The sequence below is a fragment of the Homo sapiens genome, chromosome 10 (genome assembly GCF_000001405.40).
Source record: "Homo sapiens chromosome 10, GRCh38.p14 Primary Assembly".
NCBI classification, from domain to species: domain Eukaryota; kingdom Metazoa; phylum Chordata; class Mammalia; order Primates; family Hominidae; genus Homo; species Homo sapiens.
In genome coordinates this window covers 24653776-24678808 of record NC_000010.11, presented here as the reverse complement: position 1 = coordinate 24678808, position 25033 = coordinate 24653776, and the positions used below count along the sequence as shown (strand labels likewise).

Below are 25033 nucleotides of genomic sequence, written 5' to 3'. Positions count from 1 at the left end.
TAGAACAGATTAATTTGGGAGGCTAAGGCAGGAGGATAACATCAGCCCAGGAGTTTGAGGCCAGCCTGGGCAACATAGTGAGACCCTGTCTCTAAAAACAAAAACAAACAAACAAACAAAAACCCTCAAAACAAACCAGGCAGCCAGGCATGATGGCGGTGCATGCCTGTAGACCCAGCTACTTGGGAGGCTGAGGTGGGAGGATTGCTTGATCATTGGAGGTTAAGGCTGCAGTGAGCCGGATTATACCACTGCATTCCAGCCTGGGCCACAGAGCAAGACTGTCTCAAAATAAACAAAACAACAACAACAAAAAGACAGAAACAAACCAAAAGAAAAACAGATTAGTGGTTGCCAAGGGTTTTAGGGGACATGTAGGAGGTGGAGGGAGAGAGCAGGTGTAGGTATAGTTATGAAAGGGCAACAGGAGAGATCCTTGTGGGGATGCGACACTTCTGTATCTTGACTGGTATGGTGGGTATATACACTTACATAATGTGATAACCCTGCACAGAACTAAACACACAACGAGTACAGGTAAAACTGGAGAAATATGAATAACACGAGTGGATTGTATCTGTGTCAGTAACCTGGTTGTGATGTTGTACTATAGTTTTCTAAGAAGTTACTGTTGAAGGAAATTGCGTAAAGATTACATAGGATCTCTCTATCTTTCTTTTCCTCTCTCTCTCTTTTTTTTTTCCTTTTTGTGGAGAGTGAGGTCTCACTATGTTGCCCAGGCTGGTCTCGAACTCCTGGGCTCAAGCTGCCCTCCCACCTCTGCCTCCCTAAGTGCTGGGATTACAGGCATGAGCCACCATGCCTGACTGTGTATTATTTCTTAAAACTACCTGTGAATCTACAGTTGTCTCAAAATGAGAAGCTTAATTTAAAAAAGAACTAAAATTTTAATGACTATTTTATTCATCCGTGTATCTACTCTGTGGAACAAGGTTGGGTAAACAGTAGGTCCTCAATAAATATTCATTTATTGATTGAATGAAGGAAGAGTATGTCAGTGAATGAGACCGTGATCTGCACATATACAATGAACTCTCATTTGGATCTCAAAAGGAGGATCCAGTCATTACTTACAGCTTAACTAGACTATTTGGGAAACTAAGCCTAGCATACCTCTTACCCTATAAACGCTACCTAATCATATGCTTGCTTTTGCAGTCGCTTGGGGCTTAGCTTGAGTCTCTCATGTTATGCTCCGCTAAATCCTAGAAGTGGGGGATAAACTACAACGGATTTATGATAAGTTAGTTTCAAATATACATAGCCTCCATAGATGACTTCAGAGACTTCATTCACACAAATAGCTAAGAATAGGGAGGAAAAAGTTAGCAGTTCATCCAAGATCCAGTTTCTTATTTTCTTATTTCTTACTTACACTATTGATTGCTAGCCCAGTTTTTTCCAATGCTCCATTATTTGCTTTGATGCATCTTTCTAGTTGCATTTTACATGCAAGTATGTTAAAGTGTTGTGAGAGATTGTGATTTAAAGAGCTATCAGGAAAAATAGATTTGAAAAGACAATGGAGCTTGCAGAGAAAGAATGAGGAGTTAATATTTATTTATTTAGAGTCGGAGTCTCGCTCTGTCGCTTAGGCAGGAGTACAATGGCGTGTTCTTGGCTCACTGCAACCTCCGCCTCCTGGGTTCCAGCAATTCTCCTTCCTTAGCCGCCAGAGTAGCTGGGATTACAGATGCCCACCACCACGCCCAGCTAATTTTTGTATTTTTAGTAGAGACGGGGCTTCACCAGGTTGGCCAGGCTGGTCTCTTTGGCCAGGCTGATCTCGAACTCCTGACCTCATAATCTGCCTGCCTCAGCCTCTCAAAGTGCTCGGATTACAGGTGTGAGCCACTGTGCCTGGCCCGGAGTTAATATTTATTAAATGTTTATGTACTCTGCTCTTCATACACATTTCATATTTAATCCACATTCATTCTTTAGGAGAAGTGCATTTATTCTTATTTTAATGATGAGAAAACTGAGGCTTAGAGACGTTAAATAATTGTCCACTATACTGCAACTAGCAAATGGCAGAGCCAGAGTTAGTGCCTGATTCAGCTGACTCCAAATCTCCAAATCCTAAGTTCTTTTTTTCAAATTATGTTTATAGATTTAGGGGGTACAAGTGCAGTTTTGTTACCTGGGTATATTGCGTAGGGGTGAAGTCTGGGCTTTTAGCATAACCATCACCTGAATAGTGAACATTGTACGGGTAATTTTCCACCCTCATCCCTTTCCACCCTCCCCGCTTTTGGAGTCTCCAGTATCTATTTTTCCCCTCTGTATGTCCATGTGTACCCATTGTTTAACTCCCACTTATAAGCGAGAATGCGAGCCTATGTTCTGAACCACAATGCTAAACTGGAAATTAAAATTCTGGGTCAGATAAAAAGAGAGAATCACATTCCTATGCCAGTCCTCAGCAGCATGCAGTAATGCAGTACACTTTTGTAACAAAACTGCACATGTACACTCAGAACCTACAATAAAAGTTGGCAAAAAAGAGATAGACTCAAAATAGAATCTTGTGTTCTTGAAGAATGATGGGAGATAGGAAACAATGATTAATAGTTATTTTTTCCAGTGTTAAATTCTAGAATCATTTTTACTTTTTAGGGTTTTTTGTTTTTTCCCCCTGACACGGAGTCTCTCTCTATGTTGCCCAGGCTGGAGTGCCGTGGCGCCCTCAGCTCACTGCAGCCTCCGCCTGCCAGGTTCTAGTGCTTCTCCTGCCTCAGCCTCTCAAGTAGCTGGGATTACAGGCACGTGCCATTGCACTCAGCTAATTTTTGTATTTTTAATAGAGATGGGGTTTCACCATGTTGGCCAGGCTAGTCTCAAACTCCTGACCTCAGGTGATCTGCCTGCCTCAGCCTCCCAAAGTGCTGTGATTACAGGCATGAGCCACTGAGCCCGATCTACTTTTTATGTTTATATTTGCTGTATACAAAAAGATGCGCACATATATATCTTTTTGTATATCATATTGACTTTATATGGTATAATAAAATGAACCCTTAGGAACTCCCCACAGATTTTAACTTATACATTACCCATGCTGTTGGAGTAATGTGTGTGTTTTCCCCAGATCTCAGCCCCATGTTTCCTCATTCACACACTCCTATCCCCTCAGGATAACCACTTTCTTGAATTTCATGATAAGCATCCTATTGCTGCTTCTTTTGTTTAAATGTCTTTATTGAGGTATGTTTGATATATAATCAACTGTACATGTGTAAACTGTACAGTTCGGTAAGTTTATACGCAAGTATGCACCAGTGAAAACATCACCACAGTCAAGGTTATTCACCACCCTTCACATTTCCTCATGCTGCTTCATAATAATCTCCACCCTTACACCCACCCAGAGCAACTGCTAATCTGCTTTCAGTCAGTATAGACCAGTATTTAGAATTTTTCTAGGATTTATATAAATGGAGCATACAGTATGTACTCCTTCTCCTCCTCCTCTTCTTCTTTGATCTGGGTTCTTTAACTCAGCCTAATTAACATATTGCTACATATATCAATAGTTTATTTCATTTTATTGATAAGTAGCATTCTGTTGTTTGGCTGTGTCACAGTTTAGTTATCCATTCATCTGTTACTGAAATATTTCAGTTGTTTTCCAGTTTGTGGCTATAATAAAGTTGCTATGCACATTTATGTACAAGTCTTTCTGTTGACGTATGCTTTCAATTTCTCTATGAGTAGAATGGCGGTGTCATATGGTAGGTGTATGTTTAACTTAAGAAACTGTCAGACTGTTTTCCAAAGTGTACCATTTTACATTCCCACTAGCAGTGTCTGAGAGTTCTAGTTGCTTCACGTCCTGACCAACACTCAGTATGGTTAGTTTTTATATAGCACATCTATTATGTGTGCAGTGGTATTTCATTATGGTTTTAGTTTGCATTTCCATTATTGAATTTTGAGAGTTCTTTATATATTCTAGATACAAGTCCTTTATCAGATACATGATTTGCAAATATATTCTCCCATTCTATGGCTTGCCTTTTCGTTTTCATAAAAGTGTATGTGTGTATGTATATACGTGTGTGTGTGTGTGTATACTTTTCATAAAATATATATATTTTTTGAGGCAGGGTTTCATTCTGTAACCCAGGCTGGAGTGCAGTGGTGTGATCACAGCTCACTGTAGCTTCAACCTCCTGGGCTCAGGTGATTCTCATGCCTTAGCCTCCTGAGTAGCTGGGACTACAGGCATGCACCACCACACCTGGCTAATTTGTTTGTTTGTTTTGAGACAGAGTCTGGCTCTGTTGCCCAGGCTGGAGTGCAGTGACATGATCTCGGCTTGCTGCAACCTCCGCCTCCCTGGTTCAAGCGATTCTCCTGAGTAGCTGGGATTACAGGCGCATGCCACCACACCTGGCTAATTTTTGTATTTTTAGTAGAGACGGGGTTTCACCATGTTGGCCAGATTGGTCTTGAACTCCTGACCTCAGGTGATCCCCTCACTTTAGCCTCCCAAAGTGCTGGGATTACAGGTGTGAGCCACTGTGCCCAGCTACCTGGCTAATTTTTAAATTTTGTGTAGAGACAGGGTCTCCCTGTGTTGCCCAGGCAGGTCTCAAACTCCTGGCTGAGATCCTCCTGCCTCAGTCTCCCAAAGTGCTGGGATTACAGGTGTGAGCCACCATGACTGGCCAGGAAGTGTCTTTCGAAGAGCAGAGGGTCTTAATTTTGATGAAGTTTCATTTATCTTTTTAAAAAAAATTCATTGTATGTTCTTCTAGTGAATATTTTTTGTTGTTGCTGTTAATGGATTATGTTCCTTGGGGTTATATCTAAGAAATCTTGACCTAAGTTCATAAAGATTTTCCCCTGTTTTCTTCCAGAAGTTTCATAGTTTTAAGTGTTACATTTAGGTTTATGATCATTTATTTTATTTGACTTTTTTGAGACAGAGTCTCACTCTGCACCCAGGCTGGAGTGTAGTGGTGTAATCTCGGCTCACTGCAACCTCCACCTTCTGAGTTCAAGCAATTCTTCTGCCTTAGCCTCTCAAGTAGTGGGGATTATAGGTGTGTGCCACCACACCCAGCTAATTTTTGTATTTTTAGTAGAGATGAGGTTTCACCATGTTGGCCAGGCTGGTCTCGAACTCCTGGCCTCAAGTGATCTGCCTGCCTCGGCCTCCCAAAGTGCTGGGATTACAGGCGTGAGCCACCACGGCCGGCCTAGGTGTATGATCATTTGAGTTAATTTTTGTTTGTGATACGAGTTACAGATCAAAGTTCTTTTCTTTTCTTGCACACAGCCTCCACACAGTTGTTCCAGGGCGATTTGTGTTTACAAGTATTTGTATTATACTTGTACAATATTGACATGGGTTCATGTTTCTTTTGGATAAATACCTAGGAGTAGAATGGCAGCATCATGTGGTTGTGGGTCTAGAGCAGGACTCCATATTCTGTTCTGTGAATCTGTGTTTCTTGATGCCAATACTGTACTGTGTTGATAACTGTAGCTTTGTAAGTCTTGAAGTCTGAGTGTTCCAACTTTGTTCTTATTTGAAGTTGTTTTGGTTATTTTAGGTTCTTTGCATTATAAAGTGGATTTTAGAAATATCATAGCAGCTTGCACACAAAAATCTGCTGAGATTTTGATTGGGATTGCAATGGATTTATAGATCACTTTGGGGAGAGTTAACATTGTAACAGTACTGCGTCTTCTAAATCATGAACATGGTATATCTCTCTATTTATTCTTTAATATCTCTTAATGTTTTGGAGCTTCAGTTTGTAGATCTTACAAATCTTTTGTCAGATTTATCCCTAAATATTTCATATTTTAATGTAATTATAAATGGTATTTTAAAAAGTTTTAAATTTCCAGTTGCTTATTGCTAGTATATGGAAATGCTGTTTTTTTTTGTTTTTGTTTTTGTTTTTGGTATACTGTATTATTACTTTCATTAACATTCCATTTACTAGAACTCAATCATATGGCCACCCCTACTGCAAGTTTGGCTGGGCAATGTTACCACCTAGTTATCTTTTCACCTTTATATGAGGCAAATTATTGTGGCAGAGTGGGTAGACTCACTGGTGGAAGATAATAAAAAATATAATAGAAGCAAGACTATTCAAGCATTTGCAATTCAATAAAGGTGACCTTTTCAAAATGCTGGGATTAACTTGGAGTTGTAATTTAAAACAAAATCTTAGCAGCTATGCAGACATGTTAAGTTTAAGATACATATCAGGTTGGAGAGAGGCTTGGGTTAGAAATACAGATTTGGGAATAATTTGCATATTAGACGGTGTTTAATGTAGGAAATGGAATGAAATCACCAAAAGACAGAGTATAGCTAGAGAAGTCCATAGACTGAGCCCTGGGTACCTCCAGGTTCAGGAACTTAGCAGATGAGAACAAAGGAGCCTGAGACAAAGTCGCCTGTGAGTTGGAAGAAAAATCAGTGTGAGAAGTCAAGTTGAGAAAATTCTTCAAGAAGGAGGAGGTGACGCCTGTGCCAATAAGGTGCACATAAGATGAGAACTGAGAATTGATCATTTAGTTTAAAATGTGGAAGTCATGGGGGACCCTGACAAGAGCAGTTTCTGGGAGTCAGGCAGATAAAAGCCTGATTTAAAGGGATTTCAGAGAAATGGAAGGAAAAGAATTGGAAACAGCAAGTACAGATAACTTTTAAGGAGTTTTGCGCCAAAGAGAAGCAGACAAACAAGGTGGTAGCTGGAGAGGGTTGTGTGTGATCAAGAGAGGATTTTGGCCAAGTGTGGTGGCTCACACCTGTAATCCCACCACTTTGGGAGGCTGAGCCAGGAGGATCACTTGAGCATAGGAGCTCAAGACCAGCCTGAGCAACATAGTGAGACCTTGTCTCTACAAAAAAAAAAAAAAAAAAAAAAAAAATTAGCTTGATGACATTCACCTGTAGTCCCATCTACCTGGGAGGGTGAGGTGGGAATATCTCCTGAGCCCCTGTGATCCAGTCTGCAGTGAACTATGATCATGGCACTGCACTCCAGCCCAGGCCACAGAGCAAGACCCTGTCTCAAAAAAAAAAAAAAAAATTTTGTTAAGATTAAAGAAATTACAAAATATGTGTATGCAGATAGGAATGCTATATATAGTAAAGAGAGAATAAGTGATGCAAAAGAGAGAGGGGAGAATTGTTGGACCTGTATCTTTGAATAGTAAGAGGGGAGGAATCTAGTCTCAACTGCTGGGGCCTTGTGAGAATGGATGGCTTATCCATCATAGCAGAAGGGAAGGCAGGGGAACATGGGCACGGTTGCAGGTTGATGGGGTGATCATGGCAGGCGATTCAGTTCTCATTTTATTGCTTCTGTTTTCTGAGTGTAATAGAAAGCAGGACCATCTGCTGCAGGTGAGGGTGGGGAAAAGGGATGAAATAGTCATCTAGGATGAATGACCAGAGAGAAATGTGTTACTATTGACTGACAACACTAAAGGCTCTCTTGAGGTTGGTAGTCATGAACTTAGAGTGAAATAGCTTAGTTTTTGTTTTTCTCTACCCACGTTCACCTGCATAAGTACAGCAGGCCCAGAGTAGGCAGTGTTGATTTATCCAGGGTTAGGTTTTGTCAGGCAACTTTGAGGAAGTGGGAGAGGGTAAAGGAGTGAATTGAAGCTGGCTTAAGAGGAAAGTGAGAACATGGGGTGATGAGGGACAGGGAAAGGGTGGTAGAGTCAGCTCCAGATTGAAGAATTGTAAGGGTTGGGGGATGAGAGGGAATGAACTAAATAGTGAACTAATAATAGGTGGTGGTTCTAGGTGGGATTCTTGATTTGGGCTTAGAAGGGGGTTTCAGTCATGACCAAGTGAAAGCTGAGAGTGGAGGAGAGGAGGTCAAAGAACAAGAAGGCCAGGGTATCAGAAGGGTTATCTATGTGGATATTGAATTCGTGCTCAGAACCTGAAGACCTTTTCTGTTATTTTCTAATGTCCTTTGTTGCTGTTGGACTATCTGATAAGGTTTAGGTTTATTTCTTCGTCAGAGTTTTATATCTGTTCTTTCATGCTTTCTGTTTCTTAATCCATAGTGCTCTTTAAAATTTCTTTGGTATTATCTTTCATTCCTTCTATTGCATTTCTAATTTTAGGAATTATATTTCTATTTTCTGAGAGTTCTTTCTTCTGACTAATTTTTTATGGCATTATTTTCTAGAAAAAAATTCTAGGTTTTGATAATTGCTTGCTTTGTTATAATAATATAATAAATTTTAGTTTTTGATAATTGCATGCTTTGTGTAGTTTATGCATCAGAAAATAGTTCATATCGGCGCTCAGGTATTAACATTTTTACATAGAATTTTTTTAGATGAGGAAGTATATTGTGTTATGTAGTTAACTTTTAAATATCTTTTCACTTTAGGTCTCAAAAAATAAAGATGGAAAAGAACAAAGTGAAACTGTATCACTGTCTGAAGATGAAACATTCTCCTGGCCAGGTCCCAAAACAGTTACGTTGAAAAGAACATCTCAAGGCTTTGGTTTTACATTAAGACATTTTATTGTTTATCCCCCAGAGTCTGCAATTCAATTTTCATATAAGGTAAGAGAAATAGTTACCGCAACTTGAAAAAAAAACCACAAGGCCATTCCTATCCCCTTCTAGTCTTCCTCTTACCCTTCCCTATGGCCTTTTTTCTGTCTTAAAAGAATCAAGCATTACATTTGAATTTTTATTATATTATTTTTCTCCTTTTAGGTATTTTCCCACCTTCAAGAACAAAACAGAAACTTTAGTCTTCTCTGAAAGATCATAGTGATTCTAAACTCCAAATCTGCATTTTTTAAGGACTTCTAATTCCAGATTTCTTTCTACTTTTTCTAATATGTAACTGTTTATTATCTAGAAAGGTAGTGAGTTTTCTGGGCAGACTATGCAAAGGAAATGGTTCACTGAAATATTCTAGCAGTTATAGAAAATTAGTAGAATTAGAACAATACTTAACTTTCAGATATGTAATATGATGGCATGTTAGAATTGAAAAACACAGCTTCTCATCAGAATGAATTACATCGACAGGCTTCAGTGGACAGTAACACAGCCTGAAAAGGACAGCCTGAGATAATTATAAGTGCAGTTGACACACTGGGTACTTGCTCTGTGTTCCTTACCATTCGTTATGAGCGTTATCTTACTTTATCCACGCCAGAATCCTGTGGAGCAGGTGGTATTATTAGCCCCATATAACAGATGTGGAAACTGATCTGGGTCATAAAACAGATAAGTAGTTGATCTAGGATTTGAATTTGACCAATATACATGCTTGATGCTGAACTATTACACAATAGTATAATGGAAATGATGATATTCAGAAGAGTTACGAGACCCTGGCCAGGCCACTTCTTTTGACCTCTAGATTTCCATTTTCATTTGTAGGAATTGAACTAGAGTATTACAAAGTCTTTTCTAATTCTAAATATCTATGAATCCAAAACTGTCTTTTAAAAAGTAGTGTCCGTATTTTTATCTAGAGACCACAGTTTTAAATTATTTTTTGTTAAATATGTCTTTCTAGTAATGTCCTACAGGGTATGCTTTTTTGAAGTACTGAATAGCTCTTTTTTTTCCTTTTCTTTTTTAAAATTTTTTATATTTGGTTACTTTAACACTGAGATAACAGGAAACAACTGAATATCTTTTAAGGATTGTAAATAATTGCTACCTTTAGAATGAAATTTATCTGTTTGGGTTTTCTCAAATGTGTATAAAACAACTGGACTAGATCTCTTAAGAATCTAGCTGATATTAAAAAGTCTCAAATAGTGTTACTTACGCATTAGGTCACATATGAGAGCACTTGATAATTACATTAGGATTGTGTATTTTTTGTCTTTTTGTTTTTGTTTTGTTTTGAATAAGAGCTTTGGGTCATGATGAACATATAGGTAGTACAATTTTTTTATAAGATAATTTTACCAAACTTATATAAACATGTATTATTATTATTGGAAAATATTTCTAGAAATTTTAGTAGCACAGTACAATAAACCCTCACTTAACATTGTCAGTAGATTTTTGGAAACTGCAACTTTATGTGAAACGTATTTAAGTGATAACTGATCTTATGTTGGCTAGAGTTTACTTGGCATATTTCTGGTCAAAAAAAAAAAATCACCAAACTTGTAAATAAAGACCAAAACACTTCCAGTATTAAACATTGAAGTAAATGTGCGGTGTTTATACACTTAAGAAAGCGTTATAAAAAGTCCAGAGTTGAGGGTGGCTGGAGCCTATCCCGGCAGCTCATGCAGCTCAGGGCATGAGGTGGGGCCTAACCCTGGACAGGATGCTGTCCATCCCATTGCAGAGCACACACACAGCCACGCTTGTTCAGACTGGGACAATGTGGGCACACCTGTGAATCGAACAGGCACAGTTTTGGCATGTGGGAAGGAACCATAGGACCTGGAGAGAACTCACACAGACGTAGGGAGAATGTGCAAACTTCACACAGACAGGGCCCCAGTGGGGAATTAATTTTTCTCGTGAATGTTACACCAAAACAACTTTGAATGAAATGATGCTATTCCAGGACATGCTTACGCTTGTTAACAGCATGGTCATTGGCATCAAAAGAGCCTGGGTTTGAGTTCCATTTCTGCCTCCTGTTAGATCTGTGACCTTGGATAAGTCGACTAACACAATAGTAGTACCTTCCTCACAGGCTGTGTGATGATTAAATGATACAATACTTGTAACACACTTAACATAGAAATTGACACTGTAATTGCTCAATAAATTTTAGCTATTAATGCTATTATTTAATACAGATGTTCTTGTAAATAGGGCTCTGTCTTGTAAATTTTACATGGAAAATATATATTGGAATCTTTTCCATTTTAATTATGAAATTTTATAAATTCACTTCAAACGAATTAAAAATTTTAATATTGTATAGCTTTTAGAAAATGTGTAATTAATATAACAGTGTCCTTATTTTGTCACTTAACTGGCAACCTCAGTCTCAGACTAGATCTTATAATCAGAAGAAGAAAAAAAAAAAACATTGGGCAGCCAAAATAAAGGTCAAAAAATTATGTAATAAATTATCAGCCCTTCACCGAACGTCTGTTTTTCTTTCTAAGGTACATGGTAGCTCCAGTATGGTAGAGGCTCAGCAAATATTTGAAAATGTATTTTTAGACTAGTTTTTAAAGGTTTCTTTTCTAATTTTCCAGCTAGAGGTAGATAACATGGCAGCAAGACAGCTTGGTAACAATGAAAGAGACCAAGTAGATAAACTTCAAAATTGAATACAAGAACTTAAATATGTAGCAATTTGGGACCAATCCATTTATATAGACAGCTCTGGGTCCTGTAATATCCCTTAAAGGCACATTTAAGTATAGTACAGTAAGTGATGACCTGACCTTTCCATCTGTCCAACTGCCTACTTGACAACTTCACTTGGATATCTCCATTAGAAATCTCGCACTCAAATGCCAAAAACTGAACTCCTGATGTCTTACCCCTAAATTGGCTTCACCCACAGCCTGCTTATCTCTATTTGTGAAAACTCTATCTTTCCAGTAAAAGGTACTTCCTATACTGTTATTGAAGATGGGCTATACGTTTGCTTTTGAGCTTGCCAGTGGCTATAGAAGAGAATGTGATCATTAAGAATATTGTTAGTGAGATTGTAATTGGCACAATCTGGGGAGGTCGATTTGAATTAAATTGAGCCTTGCTGTGATTAACAAGAGTTTATAAATATGTACTCATATATGTATATATATATTTTCATTTGTAGGATGAAGAAAATGGAAACAGAGGAGGTATGCTATAAACATTTTAATTTATCTCTGAATGTTTTTCTACCCATTTCTTTCTGTTCTTTAAGTGATACTAAATGAGATGATATAATTTTTGGTGTTCAAATATATAATAGTTCTTAGGTGTGAGAGTCATAGAATTAAATGTTTTTTACTGTGGACTTCAAAGTTTTATGAATTCCATTGTCTCATCTTAATTTGAACATGTAATGGTTTTGTTGTTAATTGTATGTGTTTTTGTGGAGGAATATATCATTATAATTCCAAGGAGAGCACTTAAGATTTTTATTTCAATTAGTAATCTTTCTAGATGAGGTGATTATTTTAGGTAAGAAATGCTGTGTGTTTTATCAATTGGGTTTATTGAGTCAAATATTGAAAAGAAGAGGGTTTGGGTTATTCTTGTAGTTAATGTTACTGTTGATTTAAACATTAATGAACGTAAAAGGACAATCAGGCTGGAGATAAAATTATTTCTTAATAACTGATTTTAAATCAACTTGAATGAGTTAAAATTCACACTCAACAAAATGCACCCATTAAAAACTTTTATTTCTAGATAATTTTAGACAACAAAGTTGCAAAAATAGTACAGAGAATTTTCATGTATCCTTTATTTTACTTTCCCTAGTGTTAAAAACTTACAATACCATGGCAGGGGCGGGCGCAGTCGCTCACGCCTGTAATCCCAGCACTTTGGGAGGCTGAGGCGGGTGGATCACAAGGTCAGGAGATCGAGACTATCCTGGCTAACACAGCGAAAATCCTGTCTTTACTAAAAATACAAAATATTAGCCGGGTGTGGTGGCGGGCGCCTGTAATCCCAGCTACTCAGGAGGCTGAGGCAGGAGAATGGCGTGAACCTGGGAGGCAGAGCTTGCAGTGAGCCGAGATCGCTCCACTGCACTCCAGCCTGGGGGACAGGGCGAGACTCCGTCTCAAAAAACAAAACAAAACAAAACAAACTTACAATACCATGGTACAATCAACAATACTAAGCAATTAGCATTGGTACAATACTACTATGTAAACTACAGACTTTATTTGGATGTCACCAGTTTTTCCGCTAGTATCCTTGTTCTCTTCCGGAATCCCACGTTGTATTCACTTGTTGTGTCCCTTTAGTCTTTCCTTGTATTTTATTACTAGTACTGATCAGTTATTTTTTAGAATGTCCTTCATTTTCAGTTTATCTGATGTTTTCTCCCTAGTTCAAGGTCATACGTGTTTAGCAAGAATACCACATTTGCATCTATTGTAAGTGTATAGTTTGGTAAGTTTTGATGACTGTATAACCCGTGAAATCACTATCCCAATTAAGATGTGATATCAAAACAACCTTTCCATCACTCCATAAAGTTCCCTTGTGCTCCTTTTTATTCTGCTGTCTTTAGACAATCACTGATCTGATTTTTATCACTGTATAGGTTAATTTTTGCCTCTTCTAGATTTTTTTTATAAATGAAATAATACAGCATGTACTCTTTTGTCAGGCATAATATTTTTGACCTTCACTGTATTATATGTATGGGTACTGATAGTACTACTGTTTTTTCGTTTGTATGAATATACCACAAATTGTTTAACCACTCAACCTGTTGATGGAGCTTTGTAATAACCATTTGAGGTCTTGAAAAGGTTATGAGTTAAAATGAGAAGGAAATGGCCTTTTTTTTTTTTGCACTATCAAAAGTAATCTGAAGGTGTAAGGCCAGGCAGGACTCTTCATAGTTGTCACTGGTACAAGATGAGCCACTCCTGCATTACCATCTGTCATGCACCAGGGTTAGGATGAATTCCAAATGCTACTTGGCATGGGTTAGAAATAAGCCTTAGTGGGGAAAGGGAAAACTCACGAAGCTGGCATCAGCAAGAGAAAGGAGGATGTAGGTACTCCATCTTCCCATCATCCTAAAGGCTGATGTGCTGATACCTGGACAACCTACTGGACACACAGCATCTAGAATTCATGCTTCTTATGGGGGGGAATATATTTCTAATAAATATAGAAAGACATTGTTATAAAACTTCATGCAGATCATTATGTGTCTGACGTAGTTCGCTGAAGAGAATGGATTTAGTTTTGTGCTTTGGCTAGGGAGAATAAACTTGAATATTTATAAGGGAAAACTAGAAGATCTATTATAGATTCAGCAGAAGGAGATTTGAAGAGGAATAATAGAGTGAGCCTAAAGGGTATAATCTGCTGGAGAAGATAACAGTTTGCCTATTTTAATTATTAATTTATGCTTAATTTCACTCAAGGGTTTATGGCCACATGAAGAAACACCTTATTTATAGCAAGATAAAATATAAGGTCAATTATGGTAAAAAATTAATTAAATTGACATTCAGAAGATTTAGTACACATAAATTCACGGTTTAGGATCTATACTGTTATTATTATTATTATTATTATTATTTTTTTTTTTTGAGACGGAATCTCACTCTGTTGACAGGCTGAAGTGCAGTGGCATGATCTCGGCTCAATGCCACCTCCTCCTCCTGGGTTCAAGCGATTCTCCTGCCTCACCCACCATCAGTAGCTGGGACTAAAAGCGCACGCCACCACGCCCAGCTAATTTTTGTATTTTTAGTAGAAACGGGGTTTCACCATGTTGGCCAGGATGGTCTCTGTCTCTTGACCTCATGATCCGCCTGCCTCGGCCTCCCAAAATGCTGGGATTACAGGCATGAGCCACTGCACCTGGCCGGTCCTATACTGTTATTGACGGTGGGCTGTAAGTTTGCTTTTGAGCTTGCCAGTGGCCATAGAAAAGATGAGAATATGATCAGTTAAGGATACACATTATTCTAAGAAAACAACATTTTGCACTGAGGTCTGAGACGGGTTTCTCCCTTGGAAAACAAAGAGCGATATAGTAGATGATATTTTCAACACCACTTCTTCCTATGGCTGTTTTTAAAGTGGTTCCTTAATGTAAGCTGACTGCAAACCCCAAGGTCTCATTCAGCTTAAAGCGCTTCTCAGCTGGGGATGATATTGCTCCCTGGAGGTATATGGTAATGTACCCTCTTTATACACATCTTTATCACAGTTGGGAGAGGGGGAGTATATATTGGCATCTGGTGGATAGAGGCCAGAGGTGCTGTTGAAACAGTGCACAGGGCAGCCCCCCCACAACAAAGAATTATCTGGGTTGGGCACAGTGGCTCACGCCTGTAACCCCAGCACTTTGGAAGGCTGAGGCGGGCAGATCACTTGAGGTCAGGAGTTTGAGACCAGCCTGGCCAACATGGTGAAACCTCTTCTCTACTAAAAATAAAAAAATTAGCCAGGGGTGGGGATGCACGCTTCTAATCCCAGCTACTCAGGAGGCTGAAGCAGGAGAATCGCTTGAACCTGGGAGGCGGAGGTTGCAGTGAGCCAAGATTGCACCACTGCACTCCAACATGGATGACAGAGCAAGACTCTGTCTCAAAATAATAATAATAGTTATTACCATTACCTGGTCCCGAATATTAATAGTGCAAGGACAAGAAATCCTGGTTTAAAGTGATGGGCACCAAAGCATTGTGGTCCAAGTGTATAGGCCATGAGTCTGGCTTGATCCAGTGACAACATTCAAACCGTTTAGAAGAATGGATATTCAAGGCTGCATATCCGGTGATCTTTTATGATTATTATCCCTTACAACTGAACTTGAGATCTGAATTGAGTTACTGCTATAGTTTGAGGTTAAATTATCTGGTTGCTTTACTGGCATTGTGCGTTGTTGATTAAGGGATAATCCTAAGTAAGAAAAGTTACATTGTAAGAAAATATAGAGTCAATATAATAACTAGAAGATAAGATGGCTAAAAGAAAAAGTCCATAAAGGATGTAAATACAGTCATCCCTTGATATACCCAGGGGATTGCTTCCAGGACCGCCCACATATATGCTAATCTGCACACATTCATGTCCTGTAATAGACCCTGTGGAACCCATGTATTGGAAACACAGCTTTTGCATCCTTGTGTTACTATGAATACCATATTTTTACTGAAAAAAAAAAAAAATCCGCATATCTGCAGAGTTCAAACCCATTGTTCAAGGGACAACTGTAATTGAAATGTAGTAAAAGTTTACCATCAGGGGTCTAACAGGTTGAGGGAGAAAATAATTATAAGTGAGGTTAACAAAAAGGTAAATCAATAAGTTAGTTAAAAGACTAATAAGATAATTTTAAAAATCAGAAAACTAAGGCTTTAAAATGAGAGAAATAGAAATTCAAGTACCTTACCTCTTCTGATCAAAGTTCAACAAGGTTGGATATGTATTAAGTCCAGAAGATCTGTAGTTTTCTTCCTAAGCAAAGAAGAATATGGAAAGGTATGAGAGTATTTGGAGAAAGTGATTTATAATACAATTGTAATATATTTGGAAGAACTGCTTGATTTTGGGGAGTGGGTTGGGAGAGTGGTGGAAATTAGCGCATGACTGAGAACTTAATCTATTTCAGGCATCATAATACATATTTTTATCGTCTTTAATCCTCACTCTAACCCTGTAAGGTATGAGATAATATTCTTATTTTGTAGATGAGGGAACTGAGGCTGAGAAATAGCTTGCCCACAGTCACACTGCTAGTAAGTGGTAGTAACTGGATTTCCAAATCAGTTGTGTCTAACTCTTAGGTCCATCTTATAATTCTGCCCTCTTACTTCTGTTAACATCTTTTTAAGTCCCTTCCTCATTTCTTTAATTTTATTTTAAAAATAATGTCTTAAAAAAAAGGGTATGACTTATGTAGTGTTAAGAATTAGAAGATAAATATAGGGTATGTTTAGTATGTTATGAAATTAATTCTGTGAATCCTGCATGGAGAAAGGTCAAGGAGATCCCAGGTTTAGAGGCTGTGAACACTTTGCAGGAGCAACCATCACTTGTTACTCAGTTTCAGTACTTGGCTAGCAGTGGACCTGCAAAGCTTAATGAGGTTATGGAGTCCTAGTGCTCCACCTACCTTGATCGCACCTTTGCTTTCCAAGTGTGAGTTTGCTGTTGGCATCCCAGTTGATCGTTGGGGTCTCAGGCTATTTCACAAAGGCCTGTTTAGCCCTAAGTATGATAGTCATGATACCATTGCAAATAACCTGATCAACAATTACACCATATTGTATGTGAAAAAAATTTCTTCTAACTTCTAGACAATTATTTACAAGTCAGTTTTTAGAATGCAACCTATTCAGAAACAAACTATGTATAATTTAGTATTTTAATTCAACAGAATGTTATGATTTTTATCTTACTGTCTCATTTCCTTTGATAACTTATTTTCAAGCATATTGAGATCATGAAATCCTTCTTATGTAGAATTTTGTGTTAGTTTAATGGAATCGGAGCCTCCAGTGTAATGATCAGAGTCAAAGCCTAGAATCACTGGAGAGAAAATAATTGCCAGGATTTTATTCAAACTCCTAAGAGATGCTGTTAAAATGCCAAAATTCTGTTAAACAGTTGAATGATTTTGTTTTGGTCTTCTTTCCTTTTGGCAGTTTAGTGAAATCTCTTTTGCCACTTAATTTTCTTTTTTCTTTCTTATCAACCAAGAAATACCGAGCCATTTAATTTTCTGATTATTTTACTTACCCAGTGTTTGCATTTTGCTTTGTTTCTCATATCCTTTATGTATGCACTCTTTTATATTTTAAAAGTATTTTTTCTTCTTGTTGGTTAGTTTTCTGTACTATGATGCAGATTTTTTATAAGAAAAAGGTTAAGTAAAATAATATTTTTGGTGGTAATAGTTGCTTGTAGATAATTAATACCTTGCTGACATCCTGTATTCCCTTAAATCTCTGGAGAATATAAATAATAATTTATAATATAAATATATAACAATATAGTATAACATGTTCTAATGTAATATAATTATAAATAATATTTTAAAGAATTTATGAATATAAATAATCAAAATAAGAATAGTGGGATGGTAGCAGCCAGCTTCAGTGAGTCTTTCGGCAGCTGGGACTGGTCAGATGGCCTTGAGAGAAGGGTGGTCTCGGGATGCCATCCAAAGTTGATGACAGTGGTTGGAGCCCTGGCTCAGCATAGGGGCCTGAGCAGAACATCCGATATTTAGCTTCCTGTGGTATACTGATGAGCAGAGCTCTTCCGCTACATATGTCAATTTTGATTAAGGAGATATGTGCAATAACTTTCTTCACAATCGCTGCACCATTAATAAAAGGAAATATTCAGAGAGGAGGATTTTAGGCTATTTAATGCAGGAAATGTATGATGTTGTATTGGGAATGGAGGATTATAAGCATTTCATTCTTTGGTGCAAAAAATCAGATATAATATCAGAGAGATCTGGATATTACAAAACATAATTAGAAATTGAGTTTCCACCAGTGTTGGAGTGATATTCAGCAGTAACCTTGGTGAAACCTCATTTGGTAAAGGTATCCTGTACTGATGGGAGACTTTTCAAGCATGGTCCATGATCGAAGGCTTTGGGTGGGGTATCAGAAGCATGTTTAGAATTGCTTTCAAAATGTAGCAGCGTTACATGGATCTCTTTTCTGAAGTCTTTGGGAGGGAACATTCACTGAACCCTTCAGCATCTTTTTTTTTTTTTTTTTTTTTTTTAAGAGAGAGAGGGTGTTGCTCTGTGCCCAGGCTGGAGTGTAGTGGCATGATGATAGCTCACTGCAGCCTCAAATTCATGAGCTCAAGTGATCCTCCTGCCTCAGCTTCCTAAGTAGCTGGGACTACAGTTGTGCCCCACTGCCTCCCAGAGTCATTTTTAACTATACTGACCATTTAAACTATTTGAGTTTCTCTGATAGTTAGGGAAACATACTAATTAGGTATGTTTTTTATGAACTTTTAATGCTGGTTATTAGTACAATCACAGGTGTCTTAAATATTCTTGAGGATATTTTAGGAAGTAGGAAGAATAATGATGATGATGAAGATGATAATGATGATGGTAGTGGTGGTGGTGGCAGCTAATTTAACAGTGTACTGGCTGCATTCTAAGACTTTGCATGGATTAACTCATTTAACCTTCTCAACAGCTTCTAAGGTGGGTGTTATTATCACCGCCATATTTCAGATGATGAAACTAAGGTGCAGAGTGTTTAAGTTACTAGCAGGTGGCAGAACTGGACTACAACTCAGGCAGTCTCTAAGTTTCTACCACAGCCTCTCAATAAAGTTCTTTACTCTTGGATGGGTATAGTGGCCCATGCCTGTAATCCCAGCACTTTGGGAGGCCAAGGCAGGAGAACAGCTTGAGGCCAGGAGGTTGAGAACAGCCTGGGTAACATAGCAAGATCTCTATCTACAAAACAAAAAAAAGAAAGTTCTTTACTCTCACATAATTCATTCTTGAAAATACGTAAGAAAGAGGATTCTGGGCCGGGCGCAGTGGCTTACGCCTGTAATTCCAGCACTTTGGGAGGCCGAGGTGGGCAGATCACCTGAGGTTGGGAGTTCGAGACCAGCCTGACCAACATGGAGAAACCCTATCTCTACTAAAAATCCAAAATTAGCCGGGTGTGGTGGCACATGCCTGTAATCCCAGCTACTCGCAAGGCTGAGGCAGGAGAATCGCTTGAACCCGGGAGGCGGAGATTGCAGTGAGCCGAGATCCGCCATCACACTCCATCTTGGGCAACAAGAGTGAAATTCCATCTCAAAAAAAAGAAAGAGGATTCTGTTCCTTTGAAAGGTAGATAACAATAAAAGATCCATTTGTATATCTTCTTTGGACAATAGTGCTGCTGTGAACATGCATGCACAGGTGTTTGTCTGAATTCTTGTTTTCAATTTTTGGAGGTTATACCTAGGAATAGAGTTGCTAGGTCACATGGTAATCCTATGTTTCATATTTTGAGGAACTGCCAAACCGTTTTCCACAGTGGCTATACCATTTCTATGTCTCCACCAGCAATGAATGAGGGTTCTAATTTCTGTACATCCTCTCCAACATGTGTTGTTTTCCATTTTTGTATTATAGCCAACCCAGTGGGTGTGAAGTGGTATCTCACTGTGGTTTTCACTTGTATTTCCTTAATGCCTAATGACTTTGGGCATCTTTTTGTGTGCTTGTCGCCATTTGTGTATGTTGTGTGGAGAAATTTCTGTTCAAATCCATTGCCTGTTTTTAAATTGGGTTGTTTTTTGTTGTTGAGGTATAAGTATTTTTTTTTAATACTTTAGGGTACATGTGCACAATGTGCAGGTTTTTTACATATGTATACATGTGCCATGTTGGTGTGCTGCACCCGTTAACTCGTCATTTACATTAGGTATATCTCCTAATGCTATGCCTCCTCTCTCCCCCCACCCCACAACAGGCCCCAGTGTGTGAAGTTTCCCACCCTGTGTACAGGTGTTCTCATTGTTCAATTCCCACCTATGAGTGAGAACATGCAGTGTTTGGTTTTCTATCCTTGCGATAGTTTGCTCAGATGATGGTTTCTAGCTTCATCGACGTCTCTACAAAGGACATGAACTCATCCTTTTTTATGGCTGCATAGTATTCCATGGTGTACATGTGCCACATTTTCTTAATCCAGTCTATCATTGATGGACAGTTGGGTTGGTTCCAAGTCTTTGCTATTGTGAATAGTGCCGCAATAAACATATGTGTGTGTGCATGTGTCTTTATAGCAGCATGATTTATAATCCTTTGAGTATATGCCCAGTAACGGGATGGCTGGATCAAATGGTATTTCTAGTTCTAGATCCTTAAGGAATCGCCACACTGTCTTCCACAATGGTTGAACTAGTTTACAATCCCACCAACAGTATAAAAGCTTTCCTGTTTCTCTACATCCTCTCCAGTACCTGTTGTTTCCTGACTTTTTAAAGATCGCCATTCTAACTGGTGTGAGATGGTATCTCATTGCGGTTTTAATTTGCATTTCTCTTGATGGTCAGTGATGATGAGCATTTTTTTTTTTTTAATTTATTTTTTTATTGATAATTCTTGGGTGTTTCTCACAGAGGGGGATTTGGCAGGGTCATGGGACAATAGTGGAGGGAAGGTCAGCAGATAAACAAGTGAACAAAGGTCTCTGGTTTTCCTAGGCAGAGGACCCTGCGGCCTTCCGCAGTGTTTGTGTCCCTGATTACTTGAGATTAGGGATTGGTGATGACTCTTAACGAGCATGCTGCCTTCAAGCATCTGTTTAACAAAGCACATCTTGCACCGCCCTTAATCCATTTAACCCTGAGTGGACACAGCACATGTTTCAGAGAGCACAGGGTTGGGGGCAAGGTCACAGATCAACAGGATCCCAAGGCAGAGGAATTTTTCTTAGTGTAGAACAAAATGAAAAGTCTCCCATGTCTACTTCTTTCTACACAGACACGGCAACCATCCGGTTTCTCAATCTTTTCCCCACCTTTCCCGCCTTTCTATTCCACAAAGCAGCCATTGTCATCCTGGCCCGTTCTCAATGAGCTGTTGGGCACACCTCCCAGACGGGGTGGTGGCCGGGCAGAGGGGCTCCTCACTTCCCAGTAGGGGCGGCCGGGCAGAGGCGCCCCTCACCTCCCGGACGGGGCGGCTGGCCGGGCGGGGGGCTGACCCCCCAACCTCCCTCCCGGACGGGGCGGCTGGCCGGGCAGAGGGGCTCCTCACTTCCCAGTAGGGGCGGCCGGGCAGAGGCACCCCTCACCTCCCGGACGGGGCGGCTGGCCGGGCGAGGGGGCTGACCCCCCCCCCACCTCCCTCCCGGACGGGGCGGCTGGCCGGCCGGGGGCTGACCCCCCCACCTCCCTCCCTGACGGGGCGGCTGGCCGGGCAGAGGGGCTCCTCACTTCCCAGTAGGGGTGGCCGGGCAGAGGCGCCCCTCACCTCCCGGACGGGGCGGCTGGCCGGGCAGGGGGGCTGACCCCCCCCACCTCCCTCCCGGACGGGGCGGCTGGCCGGGCGGGGGGCTGACACCCCCACCTCCCTCCCGGACGGGGCGGCTGGCCGGGCAGAGGGGCTCCTCACTTTCCAGTAGGGGCGGCCGGGCAGAGGCGCCCCTCACCTCCCGGACGGGGCGGCTGGCCGGGCAGGGGGGCTGACCCCCCCCCCACCTCCCTCCCGGACGGGGCGGCTGGCCGGGCGGGGGGCCGACCCCCCCACCTCCCTCCCGGACGGGGCGGCTGGCCGGGCGGGGGGCCGACCCCCCCACCTCCCTCCCGGACGGGGCGGCTGGCCGGGCGGGGGGCCGACCCCCCCACCTCCCTCCCGGACGGGGCGGCTGGCCGGGCGGGGGGCCGACCCCCCCACCTCCCTCCCGGACGGGGCGGCTGGCCGGGCGGGGGGCCGACCCCCCCACCTCCCTCCCGGACGGGGCGGCTGGCCGGGCAGAGGGGCTCCTCACTTCCCAGTAGGGGCGGCCGGGCAGAGGCGCCCCTCACCTCCCAGACGGGGCGGCTGGCTGGGCGGAGGGCTGACCCCCCCCACCTCCCTCCCGGACAGGGCGGCTGGCCGGGCGGGGGGCTGACCCCCCAACCTCCCTCCCGGACGGGGCGGCTGGCCGGGCAGAGGGGCTCCTCACTTCACAGTAGGGGTGGCCGGGCAGAGGCGCCCCTCACCTCCCAGACGGGGCGGCTGGCCGGGCGGAGGGCTGACCCCCCCACCTCCCTCCCGGACGGGGCGGCTGGCCGGGTGGGGGGGCTGACCCCCCCATCTCCCTCCCGGACGGGGTGGCTGGCCAGGCTGAGGGGCTCCTCACTTCCCAGTAGGGGCGGCCGGGCAGAGGTGCCTCTCACCTCCCGGACGGGGCGGCTGGCCGGGCGGGGGGATGACCCCCCCACCTCCCTCCCGGATGGGGCGGCTGGCCGGGCGGGGGGCTGACCCCCCCCACCTCCCTCCCGGACGGGGTGGCTGCCGGGCGGAGACACTCCTCACTTCCCAGATGGGGTGGCTGCCGGGCGGAGAGGCTCCTCACTTCTTAGACGGGGCAGCTGCCGGGCGGAGGGGCTCCTCACTTCTCAGACGGGGCAGCTGCCGGGCGGAGGGGCTCCTCACTTCTCAGACGGGGTGGTTGCCAGGCAGAGGGTCTCCTCACTTCTCAGACGGGGTGGCCGGGCAGAGACGCTCCTCACCTCCCAGACGGGGTCTCGGCCGGGCAGAGGCGCTCCTCACATCCCAGATGGGGTGGCGGGGCAGAGGCGCTCCCCACATCTCAGACGATGGGCGGCCGGGCAGAGACGCTCCTCACTTCCTAGATGTGATGGCGGCTGGGAAGAGGCGCTCCTCACTTCCTAGATGGGATGGCGGCCGGGCGGAGACGCTCCTCACTTTCCAGACTGGGCAGCCAGGCAGAGGGGCTCCTCACATCCCAGACGATGGGCGGCCAGGCAGAGACACTCCTCACTTCCCAGACGGGGTGGCGGCCGGGCAGAGGCTGCAATCTCGGCACTTTGGGAGGCCAAGGCAGGCGGCTGCTCCTTGCCCTCGGGCCCCGCGGGGCCCGTCCGCTCCTCCAGCCGCGATGATGAGCATTTTTTCATGTGTCTGTTGGCTGCATAAATGTCTTCTTTTGAGAAGTGTCTGTTCATATCTTTTGCCCACTTTTTGATGGGGTTGTTTGATTTTTTCTTGTAAATTTGTTTAAGTTCTTTGTAGATTCTGGATGTTAGCCCTTTGTCAGATGGGTAGATTGTAAAAATTTCCTCCCATTCTGTAGATTGTCTGTTCACTCTGATGGTAGTTTCTTTTGATGTGCAGAAGCTCTTTAGTTTAATTAGATCCCATTTGTCAATTTTGCCTTTTGTTGCCATTGCTTTTGGTGTTTTAGACACGAAGTCCTTGCCCATGCCTATGTCCTGAATGGTATTGCCTAGGTTTTCTTCTAGGATTTTTATGGTTTTAGGTCTAACATTTAAGTCTTTAATCCATGTTGAATTAATTTTTGTATAAGGTGTAAGGAAGGGATCCAGTTTCAGCTTTCTACGTATGGCTAGCCAGTTTTCCCAGCACCTTTTATTAAATAGGGAATCCTTTCCCCATTTCTTGTTTTTGTCAGGTTTGTCAAAGATCAGATGGTTGTAGATATGTGGTGTTATTTCTGAGGCCTCTGTTCTGTTCCATTGATCTATATCTCTGTTTTGGTACCAGTACCATGCTGTTTTGGTTACTGTAGCCTTGTAGTATAGTTTGAAGTCAGGTAGTGTGATGCCTCCAGCCTTGTTCTTTTGGCTTAGGATTGTCTTGGCAATGCAGGCTCTTTTTTGGTTCCATATGAATTTTAAAGTAGTTTTTTCCAGTTCTGTGAAGAAAGTCATTGTTAGTTTGATGGGGATGGCATTGAATCTATAAATTACTTTGGGCAGTATGGCCATTTTCACAATATTGATTCTTCCTATCCAAGAGCATGGAATGTTCTTCCATTTGTTTGTGTCCTCTTTTATTTCGTTGAGCAGTGGTTTGTAGTTCTCCTTGAAGAGGTCCTTCACATCCCTTGTAAGTTGGATTCCCAGGTATTTTATTCTCTTTGAAACAATTGTGAATGGGAGTTCACTCATGATTTGGCTGTCTGTTATTGGTGTATAGGAATGCTTGTGATTTTTGCACATTGATTTTGTATCCTAAGACTTTGCTGAATTTGCTTATCAGCCTAAGGATATTTTGGGCTGAGGCGATAGGGTTTTCTAAATATACAATCATGTCATCTGCAAACAGGGACAATTTGACCTCCTCTTTTCCTAATTGAATATGCTTTATTTCTCTCTCTTGCCTGATTGCCCTGGCCAGAACGTCCAACACTATGTTGAATAGGAGTGGTGAGAGAGGGCATCCCTGTTGTGTGCCAGTTTTCAAAGGGAATGCTTTCAGTTTTTGCCCATTCAGTATGATATTGGCTGTGGGTTTGTCATAAATAGCTCTTATTATTTTGAGATACGTCCCATCAATACTTAATTTATTGAGAGTTTTTAGCATGAAGGGCTGTTGAATCTTGTCGAAGGCCTTTTCTGCATCTGTTGAGATAATCGTGGTTTTTGTCTTTGGTTGTATTTATATATTCTGGTTACCAAGTCCTTATCAGATATATGATTTGCATCTATTTTCCTCCATTATGTAGGTCGTCTTTTCACCTTCTTTTTTTTCACTTTCTTAGTAATGTCCTTTGCTGCACAAAAGTTTTTAATTTTGATAAAATATAATTTATCTACTTTTTATTATTTTGCTCATGCTCTTGTTGTTAAAAACATTTTGATGAGTGGAAGAAATCAAGCACAAAAGAGTA

The 25033-nt window shown here is 41.5% G+C and overlaps 1 protein-coding gene and 1 pseudogene across 24 annotated transcripts in view; both read left to right on the top strand.

The window, feature by feature from the left end:
• ARHGAP21 (Rho GTPase activating protein 21) overlaps window positions 1-25033 on the top strand; it is a 140274-nt gene that overhangs the window by 45079 nt on the left and 70162 nt on the right. For 23 of the 24 annotated variants that reach the window (NR_160021.1, NR_160022.1, NR_160023.1 and 20 more), the window contains exons 3-4: window positions 8412-8591; window positions 11800-11824. Coding sequence is in view for 19 of the 24 variants with exons in the window: in XM_047425561.1 (XP_047281517.1) it covers window positions 8412-8591; window positions 11800-11824 (205 nt within the window). In the remaining 5 variants the exon portion in view is untranslated. Of the gene's footprint in view, window positions 1-8411; window positions 8592-11799; window positions 11825-13032; window positions 13079-25033 lie in introns of all 24 variants that reach the window. The other variant, NM_001367449.1, reaches the window with a different exon arrangement.
• Window positions 17755-18268, top strand: COQ10BP1 (coenzyme Q10B pseudogene 1; annotated as a pseudogene).